Below are 22243 nucleotides of genomic sequence, written 5' to 3'. Positions count from 1 at the left end.
GCTTAGGTCAGAAAGCCTTCCTGGACTTGACCATCAGGATGTAGTCTCTCCCTCTCTACAAATTATCAACCAGAAGCTGGGCTTTCCCTGTAAGATCTGTTTTATCAGATAGATTTAAAGGGAAGGAAAACCCCCCAAAGAAAACAATCTCAATTCAACTAAGACATAAGGTCATGGAATGTCAATGACGATCTGGTCCAGGAGGCAGATGGCCATCTTCCTCCAGCCCTCAGCAAGTATTTCTCATTGGTGCCTCGTGCTGGTTAAGCTTTGTTTTCCTGCCCCATAAGGTAAAAGTATTTAGGGCCCAAAGAGCCCTACATCCTTTCCCCCTGCCTGTCCCCCTACCTGGGAGACAGCTTTATCCCAACATTTAAGAAGTGATCTTGTTCATAAATTGCCAGCCTTGCCAATGAGGGTATCCGTCTGCCTGTGTCTCTCTGTCATTTTTCTGTCCCTGTCTCTGTCATTTTTCTGCCCCTGCCTCTTTCTCCGGCTCACCTCTCTTTCCCTCACACTGCCTTTTTATTTTCTACTTCTTAAGAAAGAACTTGGGCCTGGTGCACAGAAAGCCCTCAAAAACCATAATTTGTTGCGTCTCTTTTTGTGTCTCCCATCTGTCTGCCCTTTTGTCTCCCGCTCTCTTCCTCCCTTCTTCTCTGTCTCCTTTTTCTTCCCTTTGGAATAAATGCACAGAGGCCAGAGAGGAGGCTGCTATGGGACTCCACAGCTGGCCGGCAAAGAGAGCAAGGGGCAGAATTTTCCCCTTGCCTCTCTCGCCTGCCCAGGCCTGTCTGTTGGGAATGTCCCACTCCTAATCTTCCATGGGGGTCATGCACATCCTTCTGTCAGCAACTGGCACAAATCAATTTGCTGCAGGCAGTCATGCTCCGTGGCTCTCTCTGTTCCCACGATGTCACCCAGGCAGTGGTGTGAGGAGCCCATTTGGAAGGAGCAGGTCTATTGGGTGGGGGCTGGGCATGATTGGGGCAGCAGAGGGGAGGTCACTCTTGGCTCCATGGGAACCCAAAGCCTCTGTGGCTCTAGACGGTTGTGGTCTTACCCTTGCCTATGTGACTGGTGATTGTGTTTGGGTCAGGCATTCAGCTGAAACCAAGAGCTGGCTGGCAGTCAGGGTCACCCCTAACCATATGCCTCTCCTTCCTAGCCCTCAGTGCTCTCTGCTCCTTCCAGCCTTCTAATTCATTCTGGCAGCAGCAGGACAGGGAAAGGGTGAGACATTGGCATGTTTTGGAGATATTCAGGAACAAGACTCCAGAATTCAGTGCCAGCCGAATTATTTTTTCTTAGGTATTTACTATGCAGCACATATGTTTCCTGAATCTTTTATACATGTTATCTCTTTTCATTTTATGAAATAGGTATTATTATCTTGATTTTACAAATCAGAAAACTGATGTTTAGTTTGGATTTGAGGGGGCTGAGGAAATCAGGAACTAGAAGTGACTCCCAGTTTCATTTGTTTCCATGGCACCCAGCACGGGGCTCTTCACCTCCTTGGCTCCAATCTAGGCTTGTTGAACTGTTGCACTGAGTCACAAGTGATTAGGTAGATGATCATGCCCTCAACAGAAAAAAGGGATGTCAGAGGAGAAACAAGTTTGGGATGGAGAAGATGATTGGTCTGGATGTTTATTCCACAGAGATAGATTTATTTATTTATTTATTTATTTTTATTTTTTATTTGAGATGGAGTCTCACTCTGTCACCCAGGCTGGAGTGCAGTGGCGCAATCTCAGCTCACTGCAACCTTCGCCTCCTGGGTTCAAGCAATCTTGTGCCTCAGCCTTCTGAGTAGCTGGGATTACAGATGCCTGCCAATCACGCCTGGCTAATTTTTGTATTTTTAGTAGAGATGAGGTTTCACCATGCTGGCCAGGCTGGTCTCAAACTCCTGATCTCAAGTGATCTGCCCGCCTCAGCCTTCCAAAGTTCTGGGATTACAGGTGTGAGCCAACGTTCCTGGCCTCAACAAAGATTTACTGAGTATCCCCTCTATGGCAGGCACTCTCCCAGGCAGTGGGATAGACACTAAATAAATCAGACAAAAGTCTGTGTCCTTGTGGAGCTTGCATTCTAGTAAGGGAAGGCAGACAGCAACACAATCAGTGAGTAGATGATACCATATATGAGAAGGCAAGAGTGATAGGAAGAAAAACCAGGAAATAAGGAAGGTTGTGATGAGGAAGGCATGTCTATTGCAAATTAAAAGAGGGTAAGATTTGAACAAAGCCTTAAAGGATATCTCCTTTCAGGGGGAAAACCTTAAAAATACCTGCGGGAAAAGCATTCCTGGCAGACAACAGCAAGTATACAGCCTTGAGGTAGGCCCATGACTGGTGCACAGGAAGAAAGCGAAAAGGAAGGAGAGTATGGCCGGGGAGGTCAAGCAAGGAGGCGAGTAGGAAGGCAGTGAGGTCTGAGGGAGGTAGGGGAGGGGTCAGGCCACATAGAATCTTGGAGGCCAGTGTGAGGATTTAGCTTTTACTCAGAGAGCATAGAGGGTAATTGGAGGGTTCTGAGCAGAAGAATGACATGATTGATACACTTTTTAAAAAATCACTCTGACTGCTGGGTTGAGAACACCCTGAAGGGCGTGGTAGTTGGGAGCAGGAGCAGCATTAGAAATTAGAAGTTAGAAGACTGTGACAGGGCCAGGAGTGGTGACTTATGCGTGTAATTCCAGCACTTTGGGAAGCTGAGGTGAGAGGACCACTCGAGGCCAGGAGTTCGAGACCAGCCTGGGTGACACAGTGAGACCCCCATCTCTACCAAGGAAAAAAAAAAAGAAAAAATTAGCCAGGTATGGTGGTGCACACCTGTAGTCTTAGCTACTCAAGAGGCTGAGATGGGAGGATCACTGAAGTCCAGATGTTCGAGGCTGCAGTGAGCTGTGATTGTGCCACTGCACTGTAGCCTAGGTGACAGGGTAAGACCCTGTCTCAGGAAAAAAAAAAAAAAAAGCCAAGAAAGGAAAATAAAGAGGGCTGTGACAGTATTCTGGGCAAGAGATGATGACAGCACGGACTAAGGTGTTAGCAGTAGAGGTTGCTGGAATTTGCGTATGAGGTGCCTGGGTGGGAAAGACAAAGGTGATCCCTAGCAGTGGTCAGTATGGAGTTGGCAGCTAATTCGTGATTGTTGATTAAAAAGAAGAAAATCTGGGAGGTTGGAGACCTTTTTCTTAGTGTGTACTGGAGAAGCAGCCCCGTTCTGAAGCCCCATTCTGAAGACTTGGGATTTCTAACAGGAGGCACAGTTATGTGTGAACTTGTCTGATATTCCTCACTCGTCTGGAAGTTTCCTGAGGGCAGGGACTATGTCTGCTTTATCCCATTAGTCCCAGTGCCCAGCCCATGGGCCAGCACACAGTAAGCGATAGTAGGTGGGCAATGTGATAGAATGGGACACGAGAACTTGATCTCCACGCACTCTCCTCGTCCTCCGGTCTGGCTTCCTGGATCCAGACATGAGACTTGGCATTATCACAGGCTGGGATAGAGAGAGTATGAATTCTCCTCTAGGCCCTACTATCTAACTGCTTTGTGAGTCTGGACTGTGTTTCTGTATCTATAAATTGAGGTTTCAGATATTTATTCAGCAATATTAATAATCTCTGCCTGGATTGCATTCCAGAGAGAGCTTTCCTGGCCACTCAAAACAAGTCCCCTAACTCTCTCTCCCCTTTCCCTGCCTTATTTTTTCCACAATACCTGCCAATATCTGAAAACATTGTCTGTAGGTGTACATGTGTGTGTTGCATTTATTGCCTGCTAGAGCATAAACCCCATAAAAGCAGAGGTTTTTTTCTGTCTTATTCACTGCAAAACCTCTGGCACCTGGAATGGTGTGTGCTACATAGAAAGTGCTAAATATGTATTTATGAACGAAGGAATGATTGATTGATTGATTCTGGGGACTCAACAATATGTAGAAATGTGCTTTGCAAACCACAAAGGGCAAAGCAAATGAAAGGTGTTCAGCTATTATTATAAATCTGCTGCACACTTTAGCATAGTTTTAACTCCTCCCACAGCATTTTCCAAGGAAACGTCGGTGAAATCTTTTTTTTCTATTTGGGTTTTCTTCAAAAAGAAGAATTCTGACAACCTAATTTAAGAGACTTCCTAGGTGTGGAACTCAGTGATGGATCCTCATCTCTTAGCAACCTCACATAGGAGCTGCTCACCAGGTAAATGGGGTGACAATTTCAAGTGGGTGTGCTCAGTGTCAGGGATGAGACATGTGATAGGAGGAAGGATGAGACCTTCCCCAGCCGGTGGAGGGGAACAAACCTAAAGCAGGAGTCGGGACCCTGGTATTGTAGTCCTGGGCAAGCCATTCCCCTTTGAGCCTCCTTTCCTCCATACAGTGAAGGGGCTTGGCAAGATCCCTTCCAGCTCTAGCATTCTATGATTGGCATTTCCAGTTAGGCACTTCGATAAAAACGATCATTTATTGGGCAAGTCCCTGTGTGAAGCACTTTATTTGTAATATTCCATCTAATCCTAATTTTAAATCTGTAAGATAGGATTATAATTATCCCCATTTTCTGGATGAGGAAACTGAGGCATAGAGAAGATAAGGTCACTGTTCACATGGGCTGCCATAACAAAATACCATAAATTGGGTGGCTTAAACAACAGACATTTATTTTTCACAGTTTTGGAGGTTGGAAGTCCAAGATCAAGGTGCCAGCCAATTGGGTTCCCACTGAAGACCTTCTCCCCAGCTTGCAGATGGCCTTTCTCTCTTCCTCTTCTTATGAAACCACTAATACCATCATGAGTGTCTCACCCTCATGACCTAATCTAACCCTAATTACTTTCCAATAGGCTAGTGTCCAAATACCATCACAGTGGGGGTTAATTCAACAATGAATTTTGTGAAGATGCAATCATTCTGTCTGTAACTATTGCATAGCTAGCAAGTGATAGAACCAAAACTTAACTGTGATCAGTAGCTGGAATTTTGACTCTGAGGCATCTTGTATGATCCCTGTGTTTTGGTATGGGATACCAATGAAGGAGATTCTGCTGTGTTGGAAAAGTTCTTTGGGAGGCAACCGGTGTTTGCTATGAGTGCCACCTCCATACAGTTGGGCACCATGGCAGTACTGCACACCACTATATCCTCGGTGTAGCCTTATACCAGAACGTGAAAGATATTCAATCAGTGTCTATTACATAAATGAACAGATGGCTCTGTTAAAAGACTAATGACTATGGTTGGGCACAAAAGGCTCAAAAAATGGTTTTGTCCAGGTATCCTGGGAAATGGGGCCCCTTGAGTCTTATCAAAAGAAGTGAGAGGGGCCGGGCGCGGTGGCTCACGCCTGTAATCCCAGCACTTTGGGAGGCCGAGGCGGGTGGATCATGAGGTCCGGAGATCGAGACCATCCTGGCTAACAAGGTGAAACCCCGTCTCTACTAAAAATACAAAAAATTAGCCGGGCGCGGTGGCGGGCGCCTGTAGTCCCAGCTACTGGGGAGGCTGAGGCAGGAGAATGGCGTGAACCCGGGAAGCGGAGCTTGCAGTGAGCCGAGATTGCGCCACTGCAGTCCGCAGTCCGGTCTGGGCGACAGAGCGAGACTCCGTCTCAAAAAAAAAAAAAAAAAAAAAAAAAAAAGGAGAGGATAGATATAATTAAACATCTGATTTATACTACATTACTCCAGCTGCATGTTCCTGTTTTTATAGACAGGGAAATGGAGGCTGAAGGAAGCATAGGTCCCTATGCTAAGCAGCAGAGAAGCGGCTTGCCAAAGTTCACACAGATGTCTGGAGAGTGTGGCTGTCTGCGGGGCCCTACTGCAAACAGTGTAATACCAAAGTGCCAAGAGAATGAGGTCCTCCCTGGGGAGGCACTGAGCCCCCACCTTATACCTCCTCCAGTGGGGAAAGAACCCTGGCCCTAAAGTGAGTCAAGTGGGTCTCCATCATCTTTGAGTTCATCATGGGGAAAATAAGTCAGCCAGCCTTATAGCCTTGTCCTGAGGTCCATGGCCTATTAGGAGTTCCTTGAATGGTTAAGAAAATGCAGAGGAAGCCATGAGGGTTTGGTATAAGGCAGCTCTAGAGTCTCCCTACAGGACCAGTGTAAAGGCACCGTGGTGGTGACTAGTGGGGTATGGGGGTAAGAGGCTGAAGGACCTGCCTGGAAGCTTTATTTATGTAGCAGACACATTTTTGACGTGGCCTGCATGTTTATTTGGTGGGAGCTGGCACTAGTGAAGTTTACATGGAAGCTAAAACACTGCTCTTCCCCAACCCTTAATAATGCCACCTTTGATTTTGGAAGCGAAAGAACAGTTTCTAAGTAAGATGCATCCCTAGTGATGAGCAAATTGGTCTGAAAGGGGAAAGTGAAACCCAGGATAGAGCTTGGAGGGGACCTGTGTGGTAATGGAGGCTTCTGCAAAGGCAGTGGTTTGGTGGGATAAGGAGAGAAACCCCGAACCATGAGATCAGGACCTAAGAGAAAGCAGAGATCACAGGGATCTTTTACATTTGTTCAACTAATACTGTATGGTTGCAAATCACTTTCAGATACTTCATTTTCTGAGCTCTTCACTTTGGCCTTGAGGCAGTTGGGGGAAAATGGTTTATGCCCATTTTACAGATGAGGAAAGTGTGATTGTCAGGGCTTAAGTGGCTTTCCCAAAAAAGTTACCAGGAGAAGGAAAGTGAAGCGGATTTTTAGAATTCCAGCTCCAGCTCTCCTTTGCTTCCCTATAATGAAAGCAGGTGACTGACACCAAGAACTTGGCTTTGGGAACAGGGACATGGTAGATCTTTTTGCAGAGATGGCAATAACAGTAATAAATAGTAATTACTAATTACTCGTAATAGAATAAGCGTGTGTATGTGGTGGGAGGTGGGGGTTGAAGCAGCAGTTTCAATGAGTGTTCAATAAACACATGTTTATTACTATTCCTAAGGCTACCGCTGCTGCAGCTGAAAATGAGTGCCTACGGTGTGCCAGACAGCATGATAAGCATCTGTCTGCATTAATTCTCAAACACCCCCGAAGGCAGGTATTGTAATTCTCATTTTATAAATGAGGTAACCTAGGTGGAAAGGAGAAGAGACTTACCCAGACACTGAGGTACTGTCCGGCTGACATCGAAGCTGTGTGGCTCAGACTCTTAGCACCTGAATCAACAAATGGCATTTGTATTCATCATGCTTAATGATCATCATCGCGAGGAGGAGAGTCAAATGTTCTCTGGGGGATTACAGCTGCTGCATAGTGGAATGAGCTAGAATGGACTTCGGAGTTTTATTTGGGAATGTCTCCTCTTCAGCCATCTTATGCTTTTCAGACTGAGATCAGGTCGTCAGGACTGAAGGGATAGTCTATTTTTCTGTCAACTCTATGGAGACATGTGATAATTACACATTTTTCTTTCTGAAGAAAGACCTGAGAATCTATTTCAATAAGTTCCCAAATAATGATGCTGATGGTTTGTGAACCACACTTTGAGTAGTAAGGGTCTCATCTCCAAGCTCCTCATAGCTCAAAAACTGTTCACTTGGAAGTCCTATTAAAATACATTCCCACCTGTGTGTGCTGGGTCCTCAGATGTGGCCAGATAATTGAAATTATCGGTAAGGTATAATAACAGATAATTTATTAAGCACCTGTGATTTGCAAGGAACTTCTCAATAATGTATGAAGTAGGTTATAGTTTTGTCTGTTTACAGATAAGGAAACTGAAGTTCAGAGAGATAAGCTTACCTGAACTCCTACAGCTAAATGGTGAAACTAGAATATGAACCCTAGTCTTTGCCCCTCTGAAGAGTGTGCTTTTTCCGTAGATTCAAATTATGAATATAAACTACCCCATAAGTGAGAGATTAAGCCTCTTGATACACTTGGCCATTATTTCGCTTGTTATAGAGATTACATAGGTGAAACGTGTCTTGCAAATTGTCAGGACTTTGTTGATGTTAATTTTTGTTATTAGTAATCAAATAACATGGAATTTAATGACACTAGTAGCATGGAAAAATGAGAGAGGGAAGTGTGTAAATCAGTATTTAAGCAAAGCATAACATTTGTAATAATGTCACGTAAATTCAGGAATAGGAAAACCCAAGAACAATGAATATCCATTGAGAAAAAGCCCATGACATTAGAGAAGAATAAAACAGAAAGAAATCCACCCGTGTTTCTTGGCTTTGCTCCCTCCCCTTTGGGTTCAGAGAATAGAATTGAGACAACACCAAAGGGGGTGGGTAAAGAGTTTGAACAATGAATACACATTACCAGCATCCGCTGAGTATCTTGTTAACATTAACCTGATGCATTGCAAGTGAGCTGCAGTTAGAACAGTAATTACAGTAAATAGAATCCATTTGGAATTCTCAAGCAAATATGAGTGGGGAAGAAAGATGGGCTGAAAAAAAATCCATTACCCTTAGGAAGTTATGGAAGCTTTGGATGGCAGCGATTTCTACTGTGAATTGCATCTGACTAAGAAGTGACAACATGAGTGAATCTATCTCAGCTCTCAAGTGCATTTAGATGGTAAATAAGATGAATTGCCTAACCATTCCAGCCAAGTGCAGTTTCCTGAAATATTTGTCTTGGCAATTTAGGTAGAAAATTTAGGTAAAATTGGGCAGATGGCCTGATTACTCTGCTTCCTTCTTTGCACTGCTGGTTTTTCCTGAGTAAAATGAAATATTGTCATTCTGGAAGGGTCAAAAGGAAGGGCCCAGCATGAGATGGAAGAAGACAGGGAAGGATTCTGAGACTTTCAAAATGGTCTGCACTCTTGCATGTTGGTCAAAGAGAAGTTTTGTTTTCAAAGACTCCAGTGCCAGTCTACCTGGTCAGGTGCATGCAGACCCCTTCTGGGGGTGTCATGTACTCTCTTTCTGTAAGTTCCATAGCTCCAAACCAGCTTGGCTGGGGCAGTTTCATGGGTATGAGATCTCCTCATGGGCCTGTGTCTTTCTCATTCTCTGGCTCTTCCCTCTCTGCCCGAGTAGCGAGTGCATGCCCAGGTCAGACTCCCTTCTCTGACTTCCTCACCTCACCTCCCCTAGCCCATAGGGAAGAGACGTATCTTCCCTCAGCCTCTGGTTCACTAAAGCCTCATGCTTTGAGCACCCCCTCTGCCACCTGTGTGAGTAATGGTTGAAAAACTCAGGAGTACTTAGCCTGGAAATTGGGAGACTCGGGCAGTATGAGTGAGTTTCCATATGCTCATTCATTTATTCAACAAATATTTATTAAGTGCCTACTGTGTACCAGGCACTGTCCCACCTAGGTCTGGGAGTAGATGGAATGCAGTTCCTCATTGTGTGATCTGGGATGCTTCATTGATAGGAGAATGCTTTAAAATAGGGAGAAAACACTGATATCTGAAAGGGAGAAATGCTAAAAGCAGCATCTCTGTGAATGCAGCTGGGAAGTATCTGGGATTTCCAAGACCCCATCTATGTTCTTTGTGCCAGCTAAGGGGATGTCCACCGTGGCAGACACAAGCCCCTGCAGATCCAGGCTCCTGCAGACCCAGGCATGAGCCTGGGGAAGCAGCCCTGCCTCAGCTCTCAGAGTTCACCCAAAGGACCCCAGATGGCTGACCTTCAACATCTTGTTGATTGGGTGCCAGGACAAGAACTAATTAGTACTGGTAACAAGCTTGTTCGTTTTTCAGAGAGCACAGAGAAGAAAGTGGAGATGGAAATAATGTTCTGGTCTCAAACTATTTTTTTTTTTTTTAAACTTAGCTACACTGTATTTTCTTTAGACCATATTAAGCATTGGAGTCCTTTTTAAAAAGGTGAGTCAGGGCCATTTTTATCAAGCATCAGCTGAATTCCCAACACTCTACTATCTGCTTTATATAGGTTAACATTGCTACTTTTTTAATGCTCACAAGAACACTGTGAAGGAGGGATTTTTTTTGTCATACCCATTTTATAAGTGAGAAACTGAGACCCTGAAAGCCAAAGCTCAGGCTCTGGAGCCAGCAGACCTCTGTGTGTGACCCAGCTCTAACATTTTCCATTTGTGAAACCGTAGGCCAAGCTGCTTCACTTTCCTGAGCCTCTGTGTTCTCATCTGTAAAATAGAATGATTTCAAATATCTGCATCATAAGGTGAAAAGTGATAAGGATCACTTAACCATAATGCATGTGAAGCACCTGCTCCCATGCTGGGCACAGAGTGCTTAGTGGTCAGTAAATGCTCTCTTCTCCCTCTTCCAGGGGCCAGGAGGAGGAAGCTCCTCATTCCCATCCCCTTGTGCCCAAGCTATCCATGCTAGGGGTTGGCTGCAGAGAAGGCTTACTGATGCTCAGGGTGAGCTGCGTGTGCCAGTGCCTCGGAAGCCCACCACGCTTCAGGGCAGGGCCACCAGGCCATGGAGAGTCAGTCCAGCCACCACAGAAAAATGAATGTGGTGGACTTATCCTCAAACAACTGTGCAAACACCCCCCAGAGGCCCAGTTTTGGACAAGGACAGGAAGTGAAGTATCACATTCATGCAAAGCTGCAGGGCGCCAGGGACGCAGGCAGGGGGAAGGGAACTGCACTGAGAACTGCTGAAGGTAATGAGCCCAACTGGAATCCAGATGACGCCAGGCTGGCTTCCTGGCCCTGGAGCTGAGGCTTAGAGCAGAATTTCTCAGCCTCACCTGGACTTTGGAATCACCTAGGAAGCTTCAAAAAATACTCATGCCTGGGTCCCACTCCTGATGACTTTGAGTTAAGTGGTTTGGAGTGCAGCCTGGGCATTGGGATTTTGTAGAACTCCCCCAAGTGATTCTCTGTGCAGCCAGGACTGAGAACCCCTGCCTAGATGATGGGTTTGGAGCCCCTTGGATGTTCAGCTCCTAGACACACAAGAGACTGAAAGAGGGAGGCCACGCAGTTCCTTATTTCTGTGTGGCCCGCTGTACTCCCAGCCACCATCCCTCCCACCCTCTTCGCCTCCTCCTGCCCACTGGCTCTGTGGTCTTAGCCACAAAGTCCATGTTCCACATTTTCAGAGCCTGCCTTCCCCATGGGACTTTATCTCTTCCGTGCCTCTGCTCACCCATGTGCGCTATTGCGAAGCCCTCTCCTCATCTCATCGCGGTCCATGCAGTCACACCTACCTTTGACAATCACAGGCTGGCTTCTCTGGTCAACTCTCCTCATGTCAGCCCAAAATGACCTCTCCATATCTGCATTCTGGCAGCACAGAGCTTGGACAGCCCCCCTGGTACTTGGGCCAGGCAGCTTTATACTTTCTAGTGGGGTGCAATAGCTGCCTGTGGGGTCTCAGTGTCCTCTGTGATTGTGGGGAAAGACCACCCACCCAGTGTGCTGCACAGCTTTGTTCATGGCCCAGAGAGAACAAGAGCAGCATTCACATTGCACCCAATGCTTCTGTGTGCACATTCTCCTTTGTCCTCACCAGGGCTTCTTCTGGCAGTAGGATTCTTATATCCATTTTACAGATGAAGAAATTGAGGCTTAGGGTATATTTGCTGGAACTCACCCAGAGTTATTATAGTCTGGACTATAAGTCCTGGACTCCTACTTTACCACACCACCCATAAGGAAATGTCATAGAGAATGTGAAATAATGTGCTTTAGGTCATTGTTACAAATAATCTAGTTTGATGAAAAGTTCTAGTTTCCAAGGGCAGACATTCCATTTTTTACATCCTTCACACAAGAATTCACTGAACCTCTCAGAGAGCACAGAGAGGCCCCAATTCAGAGGTCTGCTCATTCTACAGTTGTTGGAGGCCCAACATCTACCCTTTTACCCTACTTTCTGGTGGAAGAGACCAACGCTTACATACATAATCACTGCACAGTGTGTGCTGAGTTCAAGTTCTAGCTCTGTCATGTTCATGACCTGTATGACTTTCTTGGGTCAAGTTGCTTCACTTCTGTGCTCTTCACTTTCCTCCTCTGTAAACTGGGGATCTAGTACCTGCCCAGCTGCATTGCAGTAAGATTGAGTGTGATAATGCCTGTGTGGCACTCAGGATAGGCATGGCACGTGGAGGGCACTGGATAAGTGCTGGTCATGAGGAGCTGCAGCATGGGCATGGAGTTGCAAGGGATCCCAGAGGAGGCAGAGGGAACCCTGCTGACAGATCTCAGTTTCCCATCGCTGCTATGACACATTCCCACAAACTGAGTGCCTCCTAACTACACAGGTTTATTCTCTTATAGTTCCTGAGATCGGAAATTCAACCTCAGTCTCGCTGGGGTAAAGGCGTTGGCAGGGCTGGTTCCTTCTGGAGGCTCCAAAGGGAGAATCCATTTTCTCACTTCTGTCAACTTCTAGAGGTGCCTGCGTTCTGTGGTGTGTGGTCTCTCCCCAGCCTCACTCCAACCTCCTGCTTCACAGATCCTACACTAACTCCGAGTCTCTCACTGTCCTCTTATAAGAACCCTTGTAATTACACTGGGCCCACCTGGATAACCTCCCCATCTCAAGATACTCAATCACCTCTGCACAGTCCCTTTTACCATGTAAGGTAACATACTTATAGACTCTGGGGATTAGGACATAAGTATTTTTTTTTGTTGGTGGGGAGGCTCATTTTTCAGCCTACCACACCAGGGGAGGGAGTGCAGGGACGATTTCCTAAGGAGGCACATTTCAGATGGGTCTTGAAGAATGAGTAGGAGTTTGCCAGATGGATGTGCAGGAATGGGTCTTTCAAACAAAGCAAGAGCACCAAGGCATAGAAGGAAAGCCTGCCATGGATAGAGAAAGGTAAGGAGTTCATGGCAATGGGAAAAAGTGGATATGAGAGAAGGAATGATGGGCGGGAAGGCCTTTTATGCTGTGACTCTAGAAGCAAACGTGTGCTATGGCAGCAGCTGCCAGAGTCCTCTCTGTGGTATGATGTCCCGTGCAGGAAATCTTGACATTCCACCCTAGCCCAGTCCAGCCAGCCTCAAGAGTATCATTTTCCAGCTTGTAGTGTGTATGTCTGGCCATCAAGAGCTGGTGGTCCCTGGGGCTGTCACATTTGTCTCCATTTTTTTGCCTTCTCTGCCAGCACCAAAGCTCTGACAGAAGGGCCCTCCAGACTCCCCCTGACCCCACCTCCCTGGGCTGGGCTCCCAAGACACAGCACCTGGAGGATCAACTCCAGTAATGGAAGACAAGACCCAATGCCCCTTTATTGGAAGCCATTTTCCTTCTCAATATCTTCAGGAGAGGTAGACCAGCAAAGTGACATTTCCACTGAAATAATTTTTCAATTTCTTGTAATAGGACATGAAAGTTGGTCCAGGGAAATTGATTCCATTCGAAGCTCCCTTTGTAGGACACTTTATCTTCCATTGCGGCCTCGGTATTTCAGCAATTTCTAAAGCTCGAGGAAGTCTCGTTTAATATTTTTTTCACCACCCTGGCAGAAGGCTTTTGTAGCTCAGCTGAATGGCTCTGCTGACCTGTCACTTCCTCACGTGGCTGCCTGTGGCCCCCACCCATGCCTGGTCTGCCTACCCCACATCCTGCACCCAACCACGGGGAGCAGCTTGGCAGCTTCCCACACTGTCCCCTCTGTGCCCCCAACAGGGCTGATTTATTCTCATTCTTTACTCTTTCTCCTTCATCCCTCCTCCTCTCTTTCCCTCTCCTCCCTTTTCTCCTCCATCTTTCTCTTTTGATATTGCATTTTTCCCATTTTTTTTCCCTCTCTTGCTCCTTCATGTCTCTTCCTTCTCTCCCTGTGACTCTTGCCCTAGGATTATAGCTATCACTTAACCATGGGACCCAGCAGGTTACTCGGTCTCTCTGGGCCTCAGCTTCTTCATCTGTAAAATGGGCATAATAAGGCACATCTCACTGGGATGATGAGGATTCCATAGTAATAGTAGGGAGAGAGGGATATGCACAGGAGCAGGGAGCAAGTGCTGGGCCTGCCAGCTCTGCACAGGCGCCCTTGACCTTGGCTCTGGTTCATAAAATAAAGAAGGATGCAGAACTGCAACCAAACTGTGCAGTGTGATACTTTTCAAAGACACAGCACTTTTCAGTTTACCAGGACTTTCCTGACCTATTACCAAGTTTGATCTCCACGACAACACTTTGATGGAGATAGAGCAGGCATCCTAGCCGGCCCTATAGATGAGGACCTATGCTCACAGAATTCAAGTGATTTGTCTGGTGTTCTGTCATCTGCACTTGTGTCATCTGCCTATTGATTCTGTTGTTCTTTTCTCACTGGATCACGGAATGGGACACCAAAGGACAGCCCCGTCCAACAATCCCCTGCTTGGCCTGCCACTCTCCTGATGCTGGAGTTGGAGTACAGGGAAAACCACTTTCTGCTGGATCTTCCTGGCACTCAGAGCCCCAGCTTTGTGACTGTGTTGTGTTTGAGGTTTGAGCAGGCGTTGCCAACACAGCTCCATCATCTCCCGCTTCAAGGCTCGGCCTTTGGGTTTCTAGCCCCAAAGTGAACTGAGTCAATCTCCAGAGTAGACTCAACTTCCATGTTGGTCTTGAGTCAAAGCCCATTTGGATGCCCTGAGCAGACATTACTCTCAGCTGGATGGCAGCATTCTCCTCCACAGTTGAGGAAACTGAGGCTCCGTGAGTGTGACTTGTCCAAGGTTCAGCTGGGACTTTGAACCTAGGTCCAGCCAAAGACTTCAGGCCTTTTGGCCTCAGGAATATCAAGCGACTGGCTCAAGGTCACCCAGAAAATTTGGAATTCTTGTCTCCCTAGGCTGCATTCCAGAACATTTTTCATTCCATACTCTATTTAGGATAGTTTGGGGAGCTTCTGTGAGACCCTCAGGCCTAGAGCCAGGGCTAAGGTGAAAGAAGTTACAATTAGTGTAAAGTCAACTTTCCACCTGCTCTGGCTGCCCAGTGATGGAAGGGATGACCTCAGGTCCCTTGGACAATTTGGGCAAGGGCAGAGGTCACTTGGAGGTGCTGAGGAGGTAATTCCAAATCTGCTGTTTGGGTGGCAGTCAGGGGCCATCCCGTTTCAAGGATTAGATGGTCTGCTTACTTCCCAGTGCTGAACGGGAGTTGAACCCAAGCTGACAGCAGCTGCTTTTCAGAAACAATTCCCAAGGGAGAAGGAAATGAAAATTTGCCCCACTAGAATCTGGAATCTCAGATGCAGCAGCTCTTCTTGTTGTCTATAGGTGAGGACATGCAAACCTCCCTGGTTTTTATTGTGGTTGGAACATGCTGGGACTGCTTAATTGATTCAATCATTCATTTGACAAACATATTTAAGCATCTGTTCTGGGGCAAGCCCTGCTCTAGCCTGTGGGGGTGCAGCAGTCACCAAGCTGGCATGATCCTGTCTTCACAGCACTCACATTCTAGGGGAAGAGACAGTTGAGAAGCAGTCATCCCAAATACGTGCTTGCGCAGGACCCTCTCTTCCTCTGAGACTTGGTGGATAGTCATACAACTTCTCACAGTCTCAAAAGCAGTGAGGGGCCATGGAGGAAGGACCCTGATCTGGCTGTGAGATGCCAGCAAGTCTAGGTACCACCCCAGCTGCAGGTTCCTTGTCTGCAGAGTGTGGATAGCGATACCCACTTTGCCCCTGTCCTTGGCAAGGCCTTCGATGGCATGGGGCAGAAACCCACTCTGGCAAGGATGGCTGTGATAAGGTCTCAGAGATCTTTTTGAGAGTCCAAAGGTGAGAACTCCAATGTAGCATGGCCCCACCAAAACAAAAAAATGGAAGTTGCTAGAAACCAGGGAGTCCATGTGGCTCTGTTTCCCCAGTTTCCCCATTTCCTTTGCTTTTTCATAGGTTATGGTCCACAGAGCTTTACCTTGCGAAGGTCCGTCCTGCCTACCCTGGCCTTCTCAATAACCTACAACTCTTAGCAACCCTTTCTGGCTATTCTCCCCTCTGGTAACTACCCCAGTCTCTGCTCCTCAATTCCAATTTCAAATCCTCAAAGGAAGAACCTAATTGAGACAAATCACAGGTCACTGGACAGCCAAAGGTTGGACCTTCCAAGGGACAAGTACCCCCTTCTGACCTAATCAGCTGTGATCACGGTGAGGCACGATCACATGGTATACACATGGCTGGGCTGTGGATGGAACAGTTTCTCTTACAAGAAAATGTTGTTATGCAGCTGCCATCAAACATCTGCTCCTCCCAGTCTGCCCTGACCAATGTAATGTGGGGTTTTCTAAAAAGCCTCTGGCAGGCCGATTCCTTGTATATTGAAAGGATTTATTGAGTGATTGCTGTTTACAGAAGGCTTTGGTAAATTGTAAGTTGCTACGTGGATGCAAGATGCAATAGTTGCTGACAAAACTTAAACTTTTCAAAGGCTAGCTTTGCTGGCTTTAGGCCAGTTGCTTTAATCAGGAACAGTTAGCTTGGTAACCTCCTTGTCCCCTCGGCTATTGCATTTCCCTGGGGCCTGGGGAGACTGTGCCTTGAATGTGGATTTCTCAAAGTGGTTCCATGCTGTGCCCCTGAGTGGGGCTGGGTCTCAGCCTTGGAAATTACAGTTTGTCTCATCCTGCAGGGCACAATTCAGTAAATGTCGATGTGAACACTGCCCAATCCCAGCAACTGGGGGCCTCCTGGGCCACTGACCAGCAGGAGTGACAGACAGCTAGCAGGATGCCTCTGCCTTCTAATGGTTCTAGAAAAAGGGCAGGGGGGTAGAGAGAAACTCAAATATGTTACATCCTTTTGGGCCTGGGTCTTTACATACCTTAATTATTGCATGTTCATAGCAATATTTTCAAAGTGGCATTGTAATTCCCATTTTACAGATAGAAGTAATGAGGCTTAGAGAGATTAAGTAATTTGCCCAAAGTGATAGAAAGCAAATGGAGCCCAATCCTGGCTCTCTAGATTCCTTATTGCATTGTGGTAATAGCTTATAAGCACATAACCAGCCGATTCTTTCTGAACACCTACTATGTGCTGGCTATTGCATAGTCTGTTATACCTTTTATAACAGACCCTTTTTCCTCTCTCATCTAATACCTCTATCATTTAATACTCTTTTTCCTCTGTCATCTAATACCTAGGGAAGTAAGTATGCGAGATGGCTCTTGTTACTCCCATTTAACCGATCAGAAGCTAGAGGCCTGGAGGAGGACAGGGATTTGCTCAAAGCAATGCAGCTAGTTAGTGGTGGAGCAAATGTGGAATCGGATGCCCTGACTACATGATTTGGGCTCTATGGACTAAACCATACCTCCTTCCCACCCCTCAAGACACTCTTCCATCTTGGAGGGGGGAAAATATTCAAAGATTAAAAATTACATTTTTTTTCCCCATTTAGTTCAGATCTAGCTAACTTCATGGCACATGTGTTAGTCAGGCCTGGATTCAAGTCCCCTGAGCTTTAGCTTCCTCATCTATAAACAGTGATAACCTCCATGAAAGCATCTAGCACACTGCTCAGGGAGCTTAGACAGGGAATCAGCAAAGAGAGCTGCTTAGAGGAAGTGGTCCCAGATGGCCCACTTGAAAGGGAGGGAGCGGTCTGCTGTCTGTAAGAGCTCATCCCATACTAGTCTGGTGATTCCCAGTTACCCTTTGAGACCCCTAGGCAACCTCTCCTTATCTTTCAGGCAGAATTAGTCACTGCAAGCTGCGGGCTCCTATAACTCAGTCGGGGGAGTTGGCAGTCTCTCCTCTTTGTGCAAAACATTTTCCCAGACCATGTCCCCTCTAGGCTTCTCCTGAGCCAAGATGCACACAGGCCTTATGTGAAAGACTGAGGTGGAACAGACCTCATGAATTAATCCTGTCCCTTTCTGGTCTCAGTGCTTATAGAGTCACTCCCATACATCAGAGGTACTCTGGTGTCTTCTGAGAAGGATCTGCAGTCTTCAATCCTGACTTCAAACTTTGCCTTTCCCCCTAAGCTGAGTAGGAAATTGATGCAAAAAAATTGATACAAATGTACCAATGGATGGTTTGGGCAGCTTGAGAAGATACAGCCATTTCTTAGTTTATGTCTTCTCCGCAATGCTAATCAACCTGCCTTATAGCAAACTAGCTGTTTCCTAGCAATGCCAAGTGACGTAGCAGGATGGCATCTATTTTGAATCTCCCTGAAGTGACCTATTGGCTCTCTTTGAGCATGGCAGTTATTGCCTTGAGATCATGTTGCCTTGCCAAGGGAAGGGGGCTTTCCCCAGTCATGGTGGCGGGAGACCTGTCAGGTTCTGTAGCAGAACCAGCTTGAACCACATCAACCTGGAACTATGCCATACACTTGTACTTCTAGAAAACAATCAGGCCCAATCCCTGTCCTCCGGGAGCTCCCACTCGAAAAGGAAATAGGATTGTAACAAACCCTGTGATAAGTGTTGTTATCAAGGCAAGAACAAAATCAAGCCTGGAGTTTTCAGGAATATTTTTCAGAGGAGTTGTAAGCTGAGCTAGGCTTTGAATGAATATAAGTTTTGAAGGTGGCGAAAGAAGAATAACACATTTGTTGGAGGGCACGGTATGATGCAGGACCCCAAAGGCAAGAAAGAAATCATGGGAAGTTGGTGACATCACTGACTAATCCAAACCTCTTTCCCTTAGGTGTTATTCAGATTAGGAGTTCTGTTATAGAATAAGAAATTCAGGCTTAAAATGAAACAGATCTCTTTATGACAGGATTTCTCAGTCATATGCAACATGCTAACGTTCATTGTGATTGTTCAAGATCATAAGATTGTTGGCAGCATTTCCTAGACTTACTGATGTCTCAGGACACTTAGACTATCTTTTAGGAGTAGGATTTCTTTGAACCTATCTTGCAAAATGCTAAGCTACAGATAGGGTTTTTTCCTGAGGATGGTTGGAGACAGGCAAGGGATGCCCCTGTCAGCTGTGAGGAGCCTCTAGCAGCATGAAGTGAGAATGGGATTTTACCCTGACAGTGCTGGGCAGCCATGGAAAGGTTTTTGCAGGACCCTGTGTTAGAAAGTGCTCAGGGAATAGAGAAATGGTGGGTCAGGGAGGGGAGCCTGCAGACTGAAATTCTAGGTTGAAGGCTGCGGTGAAAGTTGCTCTTTGGTATCTCTTGCTGTGGATGTACAGGCATCTCCTGGCACCTGGCCTAGGTCAGGGCACTCAGCCTCAATCCAGGGTGATCACATTCAGAGACATCATTGAGGATCTCCAGATGGGCCCACTCTGAGGTCCAGCTGAGTCCTGCCAGACTATATGCGACACTGTAAGGCATTCACCTGCTCAGCAGCAGTTCTTTACCTGGAAAGCAGCTGGGACCTGCTCTTTGATTCTGTTGCTTGTTTTTGTTGGGGCTCTCATTCCATTTACTTTGTCCCACAAGCCCAGTTAGGTAGTCAATGATGTTTGCCATGCTCGGTGTTGCTGTTCTCATGAACTACAGATGACTTAGACGATCATTCTGTGTGCTAGAAAAGGCAGAATGTGTTGTCAGCTTATTAGATCAAAGACAATAGTCCACAGCAATAGCCCTTTTCAAGGGAGAGGAAATTGAACAGGTACAAGTGTGAAACCCATTAGGGAAAAAACAGGCTCTAGAGCCAGACAGCCTTGAGCTCACATCTCAGCTCCATGACTTACTGGCTAGATGATCGTAGACAAGTCACTTCACCTCTTTGAGTCTTACTTTTTAATTGCTGGAAAATGCAAATAGTAATACAAAATGTAAGATGTTGATAAAATCTTTACTACGTACAATTGGCTTCATAGATATTAGGTGTAGTTTCATTTTTCTTAGGCCTTCAAACCCAATATCTGAAGACCAGACATGGTTTAGTAGCAGCAGCTGTGAAAACAATTGTTATGGTTTTGGTTGAAAAGTTGCTTGTGGGAAGGCCGCCAGAAACTACTATGTGCATAGGCTCTGTCAGTAAAAGGAGAGAGCCCTAAGTTAGGGATGGGTCACTCCTAGCCACATGCCTGTCTGGGCTCTGCTCAAAGATCACTTTCCATTCTGGGTAATAGGGATGTTGACACATGTTCATTCAAACAAGCTGGGAAAGAGGAATGGTGTGGAAACCAACCACATAAAGATTAAATGAAAGACCCCAGGTATTTTTGCCTAAAAAAGAAGATGATGGCAAAGTAGAGGGGAAGTTGGATCTATATTTCAGTGTCCAGAGCAGTGTCTGGCACATAGTAGGTTCTCAGTGAATGTTTGTTGGTTGGATGGATGGATGGATAGATGGATGGATGGATGAATGGGCAGGCCATGAAATCTGACAGACCTTGTTTTGAATGTTCTCCTTATCATATATTAACTTTGACTTTGGGGATGGTACTCAGTCTCCCCGAACATCTTTGCAAATGGGGATAGGGAAGACTGCTGTGTTATGCTCTTCTAGGGATTCAGTGATAAAAAGTATGGTAAGGACTGAACACTGAACTTCCTGCCTTGGAGGTGTTCAGTGAAATTTCTACCTTGTTCCCCTGCTATATTCACTGTTGAAGGTTGACAAATCCTGTCATGTAGAAGGGGAATTGGGTATACCTCCAGAGTTTCAGAGTGAGACAGGCGGGTTGAAGTTTAGGTGACTTTCTAAAGACTAGAACAATTTAAAAATGATTCACATTGCTCTCATAGGAGTGAGATCCCTGGCACCAGAGGAGGTGAGCAAGCAGAAGTTGTGAGCTGCTTAGCCAGGACAACGTAGAGGTGCAGACTGTATATTCAAGGTCCTTAATATTCAGTAATTTGTAATGATCATTCATGGAAAGATATATAGTCTACTTAAGCTCTTAGTCTCAGTTTATTTATCTGAGAAGTGGGGGAACAACAACATTGGATATCCAAACAAAATGAAGCAATGGGTGAGATGGGAAGAGTGCTTATAAACTGTGAGGTTGCAAAGAGCAGAGCTTGCAAACTGCTACCCCATGGCCACAATTAGCCCCCAGATGGATTTCGGTGGGCCGGCATAAGGTTGGCCTTATTTTTTTTTTAAAAGAGATTTCATGTGACAGTTCAAGTTGTTCAACTTAATTACAAAGAAGGATGAAAGATGTGATGACTGGGCCCTCATTTTCACCTGGCCACATGGAGCTGAGACTGAGAACAGACCTGCCTTCTGGCCTCTGAAGCCATTTGGTTTGTGGCCTTAGTCTTTCATGCTAAATTCTAGGATTTTAGCCTTACATTCCAGCCTGTAATCTGGAAATAAACCACTCCTGCACTGCGGGACTGAAATGGCAGCCTGGAGTGATAGCTGAAGGTTTGGCTTCTGGCATTGGGCTACCTTGGCTCATGTCCCAGCTCTGCTGCTTTCTAGCTGGTAACTTTCATCACCTTTCTGGTTTCAGTTTTCTCTGCTATAAAATGGGGATAATAATCAAAACTACTTTACAGGTTGTGTGAGGATCAGAGTTGTGCCTGACATTGAGTACATGCTCGGTGAACAGCATCTATTATTATTAAAGCAAAGCATCCTCTTGTAATGCAAATCATTGTCTCCTCTGGCTGATTAGATTTGTGCTGCGGTGCATCTGAGCACCAAAACCTGACAGGCTTTGACAACTTTGATTTCAGAACAAGTGTCCTTTCTGCATGAGTAGCAGAGGCTGCTGGAACTAGAGCCATTACATGGCAAAGCAAGGATGCTGTCTGGAGCCTCCACCTGAATAGAGAGGCTGGTAGGCTGAGCTCTCAGCCCCTGCGAGGCTCCCCTGCCCGGGGTTGCAGGAAGCACTGTGATTTACCAGGGCCATTAGGCTTGACAATTTATAGCCTTCCCAGGGTGAGAGGGAGCTAATGTGTCACTTACGTTTGTATAACACTTAGAAGTGAGTTGAGTTTCCCTCCTGCTCTTTGTTTTCCTCCCACAGTCTCCTTACACTGTATCCAGTAGATGTTGGGGACACTGTATCCGGTAGATGTTGGGGAGCATGGGCATGCCCCTCCACAGAGTGGAAAGGCATGGTCACTGTGGTTGGCGCCCCAGCTGTCCTCTTAATGCACCCTGTGAGCACCACCCAGGCCTCCCTGCAACCCACTGAGACAAGGACTCTGTTGTGCCTTTGTTTTACAGATAAGGCAACAACAGAGGTGCAGGTTGCTTATATGAGCCATTAGCTGAGGATCACACAGCTGTGAGCAGTGGGAGTGGAGTCTAAACTCAAGACTCTTACTCCAAGGCCTGGGCTCCTCCATCTATATCAGGCTGGGAAAAAATGCTGGCTGTGCAAAGGGGTAAAAAAAAAAAGTCCACTTATCAGTCAGGGACAGGTCAGCCCGTCTCCACAAGGGGAACACAGTCGCCATTAT

The 22243-nt window shown here is 46.2% G+C and overlaps 1 protein-coding gene across 5 annotated transcripts in view, besides 1 other annotated feature; it reads left to right on the top strand.

Annotated features, from left to right (window-relative positions):
- Nucleotides 1-22243, top strand: part of TENM4 (teneurin transmembrane protein 4) — a 788202-nt gene that overhangs the window by 87618 nt on the left and 678341 nt on the right. The gene's annotated exons all lie outside the window — the stretch shown is intronic.
- Nucleotides 16207-16709: an enhancer, noted in NCBI's record as "NANOG hESC enhancer chr11:79047749-79048251 (GRCh37/hg19 assembly coordinates)". NCBI's record gives its function as "activates a minimal SCP1, AML or CMV promoter by ChIP-STARR-seq in naive H9 embryonic stem cells {active_cell/tissue: H9 hESC(naive)}" and the evidence as "EXISTENCE:reporter gene assay evidence [ECO:0000049][PMID:30033119]".

This window comes from Homo sapiens, chromosome 11, assembly GCF_000001405.40.
Source record: "Homo sapiens chromosome 11, GRCh38.p14 Primary Assembly".
In the NCBI taxonomy this organism is placed as follows: Eukaryota; Metazoa; Chordata; class Mammalia; order Primates; family Hominidae; genus Homo; species Homo sapiens.
This window is presented reverse-complemented; position numbering and strand designations above follow the sequence as displayed.